This window comes from Homo sapiens, chromosome 10 (genome assembly GCF_000001405.40).
Source record: "Homo sapiens chromosome 10, GRCh38.p14 Primary Assembly".
In the NCBI taxonomy this organism is placed as follows: domain Eukaryota; kingdom Metazoa; phylum Chordata; class Mammalia; order Primates; family Hominidae; genus Homo; species Homo sapiens.
Genome location: NC_000010.11, coordinates 6,948,312 through 6,961,350, shown reverse-complemented (window position 1 = coordinate 6,961,350; position 13,039 = coordinate 6,948,312). Strand labels below are relative to the sequence as shown.

At 41.1% G+C, this 13,039-nt stretch overlaps 1 long non-coding RNA gene across 5 annotated transcripts in view, besides 1 other annotated feature; it reads left to right on the top strand.

Moving 5' to 3' along the window:
• LOC105376387 (uncharacterized) overlaps window positions 1–13,039 on the top strand; it is a 294,200-nt gene that overhangs the window by 157,119 nt on the left and 124,042 nt on the right. The gene's annotated exons all lie outside the window — the stretch shown is intronic.
• Window positions 7,717–8,218: an enhancer, noted in NCBI's record as "NANOG hESC enhancer chr10:6995095-6995596 (GRCh37/hg19 assembly coordinates)". NCBI's record gives its function as "activates a minimal SCP1, AML or CMV promoter by ChIP-STARR-seq in primed H9 embryonic stem cells {active_cell/tissue: H9 hESC(primed)}" and the evidence as "EXISTENCE:reporter gene assay evidence [ECO:0000049][PMID:30033119]".

Below are 13,039 nucleotides of genomic sequence, written 5' to 3'. Positions count from 1 at the left end.
CAAATGGAAGTTCCACCATGATTGTGAAGCCTCCCCAGTCATGTGGAACTGTGATTCCATTAAACTTCTTTTTCCTTATAATTACCCAGTCTTGGGCATGTCTTTATCAGCAGCATGAAAGCAGAGACCTCACTGCTTTGCGTACTGCTGCATTCCCAGCATGAAACCCAGAGCCCAGCACATGGCAGGTGCTTAGCAAATGGCCATGAAGTCAAAACAACGGGGAGGAAGCACTCTAAATGTTCACAATGGTTAACTTGGAAAGGGAGCATCTTTGGCATTTTACTTGACATACCCCTATATTGCTTAATTTGCAACAAGAATATGCAGCTTCTGTAATTCAGAGAAAAAGCATGCGTTAATTGTTAAATGTGATGAAATTGTATGCAAGAGGGCAGTATATGATGCATCCGTGCAAGTCCTGACCAGTTGGTGCCCCTCACCTTGGGTTTCCCATCTCTGACTCCCCAAGAGTATTGGGGTATCCACTGGGAAATAGAAAATTATGATGGCAAGTCTTGCTGAAACGTGAATGGCACTTGCCATGCAATTTGTGGCGGGCGGGGGGGTTGTTTCTTTGGAAATACACTCTTGATATTTTTGGGTACAAGATGTTAACCCTAAGTTGGTGTAAGATGCCCATCCTGGGAAGGAGATAGCAGGAGCAGGACACTGTACCACAACCAAAGAGGCAATCCCCCGAAGGAGTGACTCCAGGCAACCAGTGGAGACAAAAGGGGCAAAGCAGGAAAGAAATTGTTGGCCCCATATTCCCTACCCTACTCGTTCATGAGCCCTTGAGGGGGGCTGGTCCTGAGTCGTGCCAGATGGGGTCAGTGCTGCCGCCCTCTCTGGGGACTGGCTTGGTCCCAGGTACAGAGGCAGATACAAGAGCATCCAGCATGCTGGCAGATGAAACAAGAGACAGAAGAGACAGAGGGTCGCAGGCACAAGGCCTTCTCACTCAAAGCAGATGCTGATGTTTTCTTTGAGTAGCCAAAATATTACGCAGATATCTTTTCCTCTTTGAATGTGAAATCATGCTGAATTTGGGAGATGCTGGCCCACAGAACCTAAATATAGCTTCTTGACATGCTGAAATTGATCTGCGATGGTAACTTGCTGTGATAAATAATTGAAAACAATGTACCTCTACCTGCTTTGATGGAAGTCATCATCTTAGGGAAGCCTGAATATTTGTACAACTGTTAATATTCATTTTTTCTTGGATTGGGGAAATTTTATTTGTATATTATGTTTATCTTAGTGCAGTAAACATGAGTTGATAAATTATTGTTTTCAGATGTGCTGCTTTTTCTATAAAATAATAGTGATAGTAAACATAATTAACATTTATAGAGGACTTTCTTCAGACTCTGTGCTGAGTGCTGCATGAATTATCTCTTTAACCCTCACAATTACTCAATGAGGTAAAAAGTACTCTTTTTTTCCTCATGTTTCAGTGGGGAAACTGAGACCAAGAAAGAGAAAGTAACTTACTCAGCTTGTTTCGAAGCTTGTTAATAGCATGGGAGGTTTCAGTCCTAGAAAATCAGATTCTGACTCCTGAATGCTTAATCCCTGGGCTCCCTGGGCTCCACTTCCCTGTAAACCTGAACTTTTCAAACTTAATTGAAGGGAGGAGTGCTACGTATGCTTATTTCAATCCCAATTCAAGGTGACTCTGACTTTTTATCTGGATTTCTGGATTTTTTTCCATGAAATACAAACTGCTTTGAAATGTGCTAATTATATACAAAAGGCCCTTATTGACTCATAACTCAGCTGATTTGTGGCTTTTCTCTTGGTCTAACTCATGCGTTGTTTTATTAATAATTATTATAAAAGTAATGGGAATCTTGATAAAAATGTCTAACAGATATAAAAGTGAAATATTACCTTCACTCTCATCCCTGTTTCCTAGAGGTAATCACCTCTAGGAAATTTAGCAATTTCTTACATGACCTTCCAGAAATACATGATTTCTTTATACACTTATACATTAACGAACATATAAACACCCATTGAAAATACAATACAGACTTCTATGACAGATCGTATTCTACAACTTGCCTTTCTCACTAAAAACATACACATAACCTTTGACTCATCAATTAAACATATGCAGATATATATGCAAAAAATCAATTGTTCAATTCATTGACCCAAAGAGCAAAAGACTTGAAACCACCCAAATGTTCAACTGCAGATCAGTCTAATTAATTATGATATACATAAAATGGGTTATCAAGCAGCAAAGTGTATGTACTAAAATGGAAAGATCGCTTTTGTTGTTTCTTATCCTTTATTTAAATTTTCTAAGTCAGGTAATGGAAAATATACATGTCTCCTACTATTATCTCTTGCCAAAAAAGACTTGCCTAACACCTATAGCTTTGAGGGTTACTGCTAGAAATTTTGTCTCTCAAGCAACAACTCAGAACATTTCCTTTGCAAACCACAAAGCAAAAGCCTCTCCAGGTGTCCATAATGTGCAAAGCACTTATTTTTCTATGCTTTTCTATGGAGAGGAAAGAAAGGAGGCAACCATAGAAAGGTATTTTCTTGTTCTGTCTCTAGTTCCTTTTCCAGGGCCTTTCCTGCTATCCCAGAACATAAATTAAAAATACAATAAAACAGAATACAACAATAAAGACGCCCAAACAAAATCAGCTCTAAAAAGCTTCCTAAATTATTCAGCAAGTGAGTATCTACTCAAAGTTTTGAAGGGGCTGTCTGATTTCATTTCTATAAACTTGGTATTTTAGGGAGATTTTAAGAGTGTGATACTATTCTTGCAGTCTCCTTAGCAGAACAGGCTAGCTCTTAGCCTTGATGGTCCCTTTAGCACTTCCCCATCCCAGGACTGTGGCTGCTTCCTCTGCCTGTTCTCTGATGTAGTATCTTATGCCTTTGTCCTGAAGTGCCACCTCTGGCCACAGCTCGGCAACTGTTGATTCAGATATTACAGATGAAAGGGAGAAGCATTTGGTAACACTTGTGGTTTATTATTTAAATTGATCTCCCTTAAAGTGTTATTCTTGTTCATGTATTAATAACACTGGAGTCAGGATTATATTTAAAATACTTCAAAGCTGTTTCAAGGCAGGGCACCAGGCATTGGCCAATCAGCAGGGTCCTGGAAGCTCCCAGCTGCAGTGGGTGTTAACCCTTTAGTTGCTGGATGGTGGAAAGTTCTAGAAGGTCCAGAGGATGATAGGTGGAATCATCCTATCAGGTGACCAGGATATCTGGGAGAGGGACCATGGGGTTGGGAAGTGTTTTAATATTGTAACTGCCATCACAGCTGTACTGATAGGTAGTCTTGATGATGCAATGGGTAAAAAGAACATGTCCAGAAACGAACAATGCCAATAATTGGAGAATTCAAAATATTAAATTCAGTAAACCTTTGTTGCATGGCAGACCCTGTGCCGAACCTAGGATTATCGCAATGACTAAGACCCACACCATCCCAACCGTCTTGAAACTTGTGAGCTAGATAGGAAGACAATGCTATCTTGAAAAGGATTTTATTTCACTAGGACTACTTAACCTGAAAACATGAAAGTTCAAAGAAGAGTTTTTATTTATTATTTAGAGATGGGGTCTGGGCTCAAGTGATCCCCTCCAGCCTCCTGAGTTGCTGGGACTAGAGGTGCACTGCTACACCTTGATAAGTTTTAAAACAATTTTTTTTTTTTGTTGAGATGGGGTCTCACTGTATGACCCAGGCTGGTCTTAAACTCCTGGCCTCATGAGATCCCCCAACCCTGGCTTCCCAAAGTGCCGGGATTACAGGTATGAGCCACCACACTTGGCCCCGAAGAGGAAGTTTTTAATTGCAAGGTGTGGTATGAAAAGACCAGCTGTTACCTGTGGCAATTAAAGAAATAAACCTCCTTAAGAGAAATGGCTGTTAATCACAAAGAAACATTGTTTTTTATGCTGTGAATATGATTAGGGCCTGGCATAGACCTTAGGGGAAGCCTCTAAAAATGAGGCAGTTACCCCCATATCTAGGGCAGATGGTCATGTTCAACTCCAGGCAGCAGGGAGTCCCCATCACCAGCCTGTCTGCAAGAGGCCCACAGGTTCCTGCGATTCTGTGCACTCTGTCCTGTAGGAGGAACTCAACTGGTCGTTTTTGTGTAATGCAAGCATGGTATTGGAGGAATTTTTATAAAAACCATAAGCAAAACTGAATACTTCTTTCTAAAAACAGATTCTGTGACTGAAGATGAGTTCAATCACAGGATTCTCTCAGCCGGGCTCTGAAGGGCCTTGCTCTGAATTCTGGGCTCTTAAGCACCAGTGAGTGATGACTCTGGCAGCTTTTCTAGGCCCGAGTGTGGAACTTTCTTGATCTTGTGTGGAATGGTTATTGACTATAGATAGCATCTATCTATTGAAGAAACAGGCCATGTTGCAGAGAAAATATCAGGCCATCTTCCTCCTTGTATCTGTTCCCCGTGTGCCATTTTGTGAAAACTGCTTGTATTGTGGAAACAAACCCATTTTGGCTCCTTTTGGCTCTCTGCAGACAGTCCGTGGAAAAGCCAAGTTGAATCCCACTCTACCTTATGAATCATTCTCCCATCTGCCAGCTGAATCCTGGCTGAGGCCACTTTGTTTTAGGAGAAGGAGGTGCAGAGTGAAAAGGAAACATGTTGATTCTCCCAGCTCAGGACATTTGTAGTATAATTAGAAACATAATGTTTTGACTTGAAAGCTGATCACATCTGATATGGGTGTCAGCGAAACAGAATAAATTTTTTTAATCTTTTTGGTGTAATTTAATAGAATAAGAGCTTTGATGGGGATGACACCACTCCAAGTGCTGTTAATATGAAATTGCTTCCCTGCTCCCTGGCTCCTTTAAGAAATGTAGATGTGAAATCAGTGTAGACATGTCTACAGCTGAATAGTAAAGATGAATTTAAAAACATGCTTCATATCTGGGTCACTTTAAAGTAAATATCAGACACTGTTGGTTATTCCTGTGTCTCATAGATAAGAAGAGGCTACAGAATGTACCTTGAGTTAGGATCCTGGGAATGATATACATTTGGGGAATTTATTATTTCAGAAACATATACTCTTGTTCCCACAAAAAAACACTGATTTTAATCAAAACATGATGTGTGTAATCATTTAAAACTTTATGGTGGCTTCTTTTAGCCTCGCAGTACTTGGATTTTATGAGAACAACAGTAAATATGAGAATTTAGGGCTCTGATAGACGGGCAAAAGATAGAGACCTTAAACTCACCGCAGCCTGTGTGATAGAACTGATGGTGCCACGTGACCTTGACCTTGCTATGCCCATCCTTGCAGTCCTCACATAACAGGGATCTGCACATAGCCTGTTTTCAAAAAATATTTGTTGAGTGAATGAATGTGTGAGCAAACAAGGGGAAAATGAATAATCCTTGGCACCTGGGAGAAAGAAGATCTGGGCTTTGTAGGTTTGTTTGGTGTCATTTTCTTACAATCTCAAGATTCAAAGATCCAAGTGTTTCAGATGAGAAACCCTGAAGGGAGGGGTTAGTTTTCTGTTCTGCACCATAGACGATCATCACTGTAGCCGCGTCCAGCAACATGGTGTATGAGCATGCAGTTCTCCAGGGTGGCCTTCAGCGGGGCTCAGCGGGGCTCCTGCTTCAGGGCTCCAGTTGGATCAAGATGGCAACCAGGCAGGGTTCTCCTCTGGAGGCGTGGGCTCTTCTTCCAAGCTTATGTGGTTGCAGCAGGATTCAGTTACCTGTGGCTGTGGGACTGAGGTCCCTGTCTCCAGGCTGGCTGTCAGCCTGGGGCTGCTGTGTGTTCCCATCCACTGCCCACATCCCTTCCCACGGAGCTCCTCCATCTTTTAACTAACAGTGATGCTTGGAGTCCTTTTCACCATAAAAGGTTCATGTGATCATATCGGGTCCATCTGATCATCTTCAAGTCAATTGACTTGGGACTTTAATTTCATCTGCAAAACCCTTTCACAGCGGTAGTAGAGTAGCCGTTGATTAAATAACCAGGGCAAGAGGAGGTTCACTTTTAGAATTCTGCCTGTCAGTAGAGACCATCAATCAGCCATGCAGGATGCGGATGCAGTAGTTGTAGGGGCCGCAGTGACCTGTCAGAAGCCTGCCGAAGGGCCTTCAAATTAAAAAGCATATTGACCACCATGCCAGCTGCAGAGCTTGGGTCTATGGGCTGGTTCTGCTGCAGGCTTTAGGCTTGGCACTCCTGGTCTCGGTTAGCCCTTCCATTGTTGGTGGAGTTAGTGTGCTGCTTTGAGATGATTTATCAGTGCCACACTGCTGAGGAGGTCTCATCTTGCCAGAATCCAGGCCTTCTGGCTTGTGGGTCTGGGGTATTTTCACAGTGCTTGAGTTGATTAGAAATTGTTTCATTATGTGACTTTCTTCATTGCTTTGTGTTCTCATCCCATATTTATGTTAATACTGGGCATGGTGACTGCAATGCCCCAGGCTAGCTCCTCCTTTGAGTACAAATGAGATTCCACCTATGTTAAGATTAAAATCCTGCTGCTCTGAGTTTCCATGGCTGCACTGGTAGGAAATTCAGCAGAGCTTCATGTTCCCCTCCCCAGATCTGAGAATTCTCAGGGGTGTTCTCTTGTGTCCATGCCTGACTCAGTCCTGGACATTTTCATCACTTGCTAGAGGAGAAGGAGCTCAGGTGTGAACTCCAAGGCCAGATTCACCCCCAGTGGCCTGTCTGCTTCCTGTCCCTGCATGGATACTCATGATGCCATGGAAGGGGTGGCTCAGCAGCTGCTTTGAGGACAGGGAGCAGGAAACAGCACTGAGAAGGCACGGTCTTTGTCCCAAGTCTGTTCATAGATCAGATACCAAGAAGGGCAGTGTGTGGCCCTTTCATTTTCTTGCTCTACTCTTCCTTGGAGATTTTACCTACTGCCTTGGTTTCAACTACAAACAAAGACTATACATCTTTGCTATCTGAGTTTCCAGGAAAAAAAAATCTTTTTTAGAACTGAAGCTTTATATCTCCAGGTTTTTACTGGAAATTCCATGGATTTATTTTCACTGCTGAACTCAACATATCAAGACTGACTTCATCATCTCTCTCCAAACTGGCTCAGTCTTTTGGCGTTCCCATTTTTTCAAGAAGCTTCACATTTCCCCCAGTAATTCTAGTGTATAACCTGGGATATAATTCTGACTCCTTTAAAAAAAAAAAAAAACAATCAGTTGCTGTGTTAGTTTGCTTGGACTACTGGAGCAAAATACCACAGATGAGGTGGCTTATGAATGAAAACCTCTCAACTCACAGTTCTGAAGACCAGAAGTCCTAGATCTAGTGTTGGCAGGGTTGGCTCTTTTGGAGGCTGTGGGGGAGAATATGTCCTGTCAATCTTTGGTATACTTTGGCTTGTGGAAGCATCATTCCAACCTCTGCCTTCACCATGGCTGTTGTTGGGAGGTTCCCGATGTATACTTACAGTAAATTATTCCTCTGGACTGAGGTCTAGCTTGGCTGCTCTTTGGCTGGTGTTGGCGGTTATGATTGTTAGAACTGCTTTGGCACAGATCCCAAAGGCTCCAGGGATAGGATTGTTTAGAAGACACAGTGATGACATCTCTGTTTGGGTAAAATGATCCCAGAGCCACACATCCACTATCCCAGCATTCCTAAAACCAAAAGCACTTGGACAGCATCATAATAGTCACGTCCACGCCCCCAGGCCTCAGCTGCCTCCAAACACTGGTGCTTACAGAGGTCGAAGTGACTGTTGGTCCTGATTATGTCTGGCACAATCCCACTGGACTTTATTCTGGTCAGGGTTCAGCAAACCACGCCAGAAAAATCCCAGAATGCTTGGCCTTAACTGTGAAGTTGATGGGATGCAGATCTATTTTCCTTTCCCCGCTGTTCTTAGCAATTGTTGAATCTCAGCAGGTGGTCTGATTCCAGTCAAGGGTCACAAGAGAAAAAAGATGTTTGTGATCTCATAGGCATACTTCAGTGGCACAAAGTTATTTCCAATTAAAAGAAAAACGCATTAAGTAACAGTCTAGTTAACTAGAAGTCAAATTTCCCCAAATTTTAACGCTCTAAAACATGGTCCCAGACCTAAATTCAAGAAATAAAGCTCCTACAGTGAAGTCATTACACTTTGTCCATTGGTTTCTCACACAGGGCTGTCAACTGTAATTTACAACAAATTCTTAACAAACTAGGTCTTCTACCCATAAGAGATTACCAGTGGAACCTAGAAAGGAATAGAGCATTCTCTCTCCTCTAGAAACAGGAAACACAAACTGTGCAGACACAAACTGGGAAATACAAATAAACTTTTGTAATAATGACATATTATGTAATGTATATATATATATAATTAAGAAAGTTGTTTTTTAAGATGCTTTCTTCTTTCTTTTCCTTTTTTTTTTTTTTTTTTTTTTTTTTGAGACAGGGTCTCACTCTGTTGCCATGGCTGTAGTGCAGTGGTACGATCTCGGCTCACCACAGCCTTGACCTCCTGGGCTCAGGTGCTCCTCACACCTCAGCCTCCTGAGTAGCTGGAACCACAGTGTTCTGCCACCACGCCCGGCTAATTTTGGTAGTTTTGTTTTTGTAGAGATGGGGTTTTGCCATGTTTCCTGGACTGGAAGATGCTTTCTTTTCAAGAGTTCATTGTGTTTCATATTAAGTTCATTGTGTTTATCCTTCTATAAAAACATATATATATTTTCTTATGCTTATTATTTGCCTTCCTATGGTAATAATTTTTATTCATGGGAATTAAAAAATACTACTTCTACTTGTGTAGAAATAGAAATACCATGTCCATGGGTATGAATGAAATGCAATAATATGGTAATTAAGTAGTATCCAATAAAATTTTCAATCTATTGGTACATTACATGAATTATTTAATTAAGTTTGTTAACGGTTTACTAAGTAGGTATTGCCTGTTTTAATATTAAACACCCTTATCATTATAGGGTGTAAGACATACTGAATATGATTTCAAATGTACTTCTAATTTTTTGGAGGTTATCTCCCTTAGCATAGATGACTTTGTAGTTTTCCTCAAGCACACAACTTCTATACAATTTTTAAGGTTGTAAGTTTGAATCAATGACCTTCTCTTATATGGAAAATTTCATTATGTATAACATTTTATTTTCCAAGAAACCAAATGAAGTGTCACCAGGTATATTCTGATTATTTATTTTTCCTTTAAACTACTTCATATATACGCACCTGTTCTAAGACTTTGCACTATCCATGATTTTTCTCCATTCCATTTTTTTTCTTGGTTAGGAACAAAACCGTCAATAACTGTAGATGAAAACTGTTTGCAGTAGCATGCTGAGATAATCTGGTTGGAAGGCTTTGATTGATGTGTGTCTAAAGATAAATGCATACGGCATCAATTGCATCTCTGCTTTCTGCAGAGCCAGTTCCAAGTGCTCATTAGAGTGTCTGGCTTTCCTTCTGGCACCTGTTGTTTCACAGGACTTTATAAGCTCTCTGCTTCTAATAAATGAAATTATACTTCTGCAGGACGGTTCCCATAAGCAATCAAGGAAACACCATCTCAAAGTCTCTAAGCCTGGGCATCATGAGAGCCATTGTCCTGGCCCCAACATGAAATGATGGAGGTTGATTAGTTTTTTACTGGTCTAAAGGTCCAGAGAATCTCCCTAAAAGGCAAATGCAGAACATTAGAACTCTGGAAATAGCTGCTTGTAATTGAAAACTGTTACTGCTGATAGTGTGACTTTACTAAAATTTAGCTTTCTGATGAGGCCTTGACTTCCAGAATCTTAGGGTGAGGATAAAAGGAGGATTTGCTTGGATTCCATAAGTCAAGTTTTTCCCATGCTCTGGTCACTTTCTGTTACCAGATTTGCCTGTCCTCATGGAAACACATTCACCCTACAAAGCTTAAAATTCCCACTTAATCTTTGTTTCATTATGTTCGTGAATAATGTGCTGTGATGCTGTGAAAATCCAGAGAGCTCAGCAAGCAACCCTCTAACAACAGACTTGGCTGTGGATCTGTGTGTGAGCCAGTGCATGTGTATGCACTGGCGTGTGCAAGCATGTGTATGCGTGTGTGTGTGTTTAAAGGCACCAAACAGTAACCGAATGTCATGGAAAAGGAGTTGAAATTCTGAATGCATCTAGATTACTCTTCAGGACTCATTTTAAGCTTCAAGATGGAAAGAAACTCTTCAATGCTTAGTGAAACAAACTTCAAGGGTCTTGATTCAGAGATCATTTTATTGTTGGAAGGTACATCTACAGTGAGTTACTTTTGGGCCAACCCTGGCATAAAGTGTGAATTTAGCCATGAATGTGTGGCCTTCCAGCACACTTCTCTTTCCCAGCTCCCTCCCTGCCCATAGGGCTGCTCTCCTCCCTCCTTGCCTCTCAGGCACCAGTGTTCTCTTCACTTTTTCCTCCTGTTGAACCCTGTCAACACCTCCCAGAAGAAGCAAGGAGAGAGGGCCTGATTTTTTTTTTCTCATTAGAAAAAAAAGCTTTATTTCAATAGTTTTTGGGGGGGTACAGGTGGGTTTTGATTACATGGATAAGTTCTTTCATAGTGGCTTCTTAGATTTTGGTACACCTATCACCTGAGCAGTGTACACTTTTATCCCTCACCTCCATCCATCTCTTCCCCAACTGAGTCACAGAGTCCCTTATGTTATTCTTGTGCCTTGGTGTCCTGATATGGTTTGGCTGTGACCCCACCCAAATCTCATCTTGAATTGTAGCTCCCATAATTCCCACATGTCATGGGAGGGACCCAGTGGAAGGTCATTGAATCATGGGGGCAGGTCTTTCCCATGCTGTTCTCCTGATAATGAATAAGTCTCATGAGATGTGGTTTTATAAAGGGCAGTTCCTCTGCACAAGCTCTCTCTTGCCTGCCACCATGTAAGATATGACTTTGCTCCTCCTTTGCCTTCCACCATGATTGTGAGACCTCCCCAGCCATGTGAAAGTGTGAGTCAATGAAGCCTCTTTCCTGTATGAATTACCCAGTCTCAGGTATGTCTTTACTGGCAGCATGAGAACAGACTAATACATGTCCTCATAACTTAGCTCCTACTTGTAACTGAGACGATATGACATTTGGTTTTCCATTCCTGAGTTACTTTACTTAGAATAATCGCCTCCAGCTCCAACCAAGTTGCTACAAGAGACATGATTTCATTGCTTTATATGAATGAGTAGTATTCCATGGTGTATATGTTCCACATTTTCTTTGCCCACTTGTTGGTTGATGGGGCCTGGTTATGAAGAAATGTCAATTACTAATGAGCATTTAAAGCATCACTCCCCTCATTTCTATAGCTCTAATTTCTTGGGGCCCAAAACTTCAACCTAAGAAATAAAGGATTCTTTGTGGAAATTTGGATAATAACCAAGGATTATCTGATTGATTTCTTTTAATAATCCAGGTAGATTTTTGTTGAGACCACTAGTCATGTTTACTAATGTAATGTGGGTCCCTGGAACTATGGTGAGGTTGACTTTGGAAGTAAAGAACAATCTTGGCTTTAGATATTGGGGTGCTTCAACATATTTTCTTTTCAAGATTTGCAGACTTTTACTGCCCCTGTAACCTACATCGCAAATTTAGCCAATATTATGGACTGAATGTTTGAGTTCCCCCAAAATTCTTATGTGGACTCCCTAACGTGCAATGTGATGTATTTAGAGATAGGGCCTTTGGGAGGTGATTAAGTTTAAATGAGGTCATGAGGATGGGGCTCCCAAGATGGGATAAATGTCCTTAGAAAATAAAGAACAAGGAAGAGGAAAAGAAGAAGCAGGAAGAGGAGAAGGAAGAGGAGAAGAAGGCAGGGAGGGGACACCAGAGCTCTCTCTCTCAACTGAGTGAGGACACAGCAAGAAGGTGGCCATCTGCAAACCAGGAAGAGAGCCCTCATCAGGAACTGAGCCAGCTAACAGCTTGACCTTGGACTTCCAGCTTCCCAACTGTGAGAAATAAATGTCTGTTGTTTAAGCCACCCAGTCTATGGTACTCTGTTACAGCAGCCGGAGCTGACTAACACGGCCAACATATCTGTTACCTTGGTTCTAAACAGACTACCCAAAGGGTACAAGAGATGATACTCTCAGTGAATTGAGGAACATTGGCAAAATGTTTGGTCATGCTTGATAATTAAGATGTAATTATGTATAACAGAAATGGTAATGTATCTTACAAATACGAATATCTGAAAAGAGCATTTTCAAAAATTGTAGTAACATATTTGGAACATACAGTTTACCATTGCAATCATTTTTAGCTGTACAATTCAGTGGTATTAAATACATTCACAATGTTATGCAACCATCCATCTTCATTACTATTTTCGTCTTGTTAAACAGAAACTCTATGCCTATTAAACAATTAATTCCCATTTCCTCTCCCATCAGCCCCTGGCAGCCACCATTCTACTTTCTGTCTCTGTGAATTTGGGGACCTCATGTGATTGGAACCACACAGTACATCTTTTTGTAATGGGCTTATCTCACTCAGCATCCTGTCTTCAGAGTTTATCCATGTTGTATTAATAGCGTGTATCAGAATTTCCTTCCTTTCTCAGGCTGAATAATATTCCATTGTATAGATAGGCCACATTTTGTTTATCCACTCATCTATCAATGGGCACTGGGTTGCTTCTACCTTTTGGCTATTGTGAATAATGGTGCTATGGACATGGGTTCATAAATATCTTTTTGAGACTCTATTTTCAATTCTTTTGAGTATAAACCCAGAAATTGTTGGATCGTATGGCAATTCTAGTTTTAATTTTTGAGGAGCAATCAGTGTTGTATTTATTTTTATTTTTCCATAAGTTGTTGGGGTACAGGTGATATTTGGTTACACGAGTAAGTTCTTTAGTGGTGATTTGTGAGATTTTGGTGCACCCATCACTCGAGCGGTATACACTGCACCATATTGGTAGTCTTTTATCCCTCACCCCCTCACTCTTCCCCCCAAGTCCCCAAAGTCTATTGTCTCATT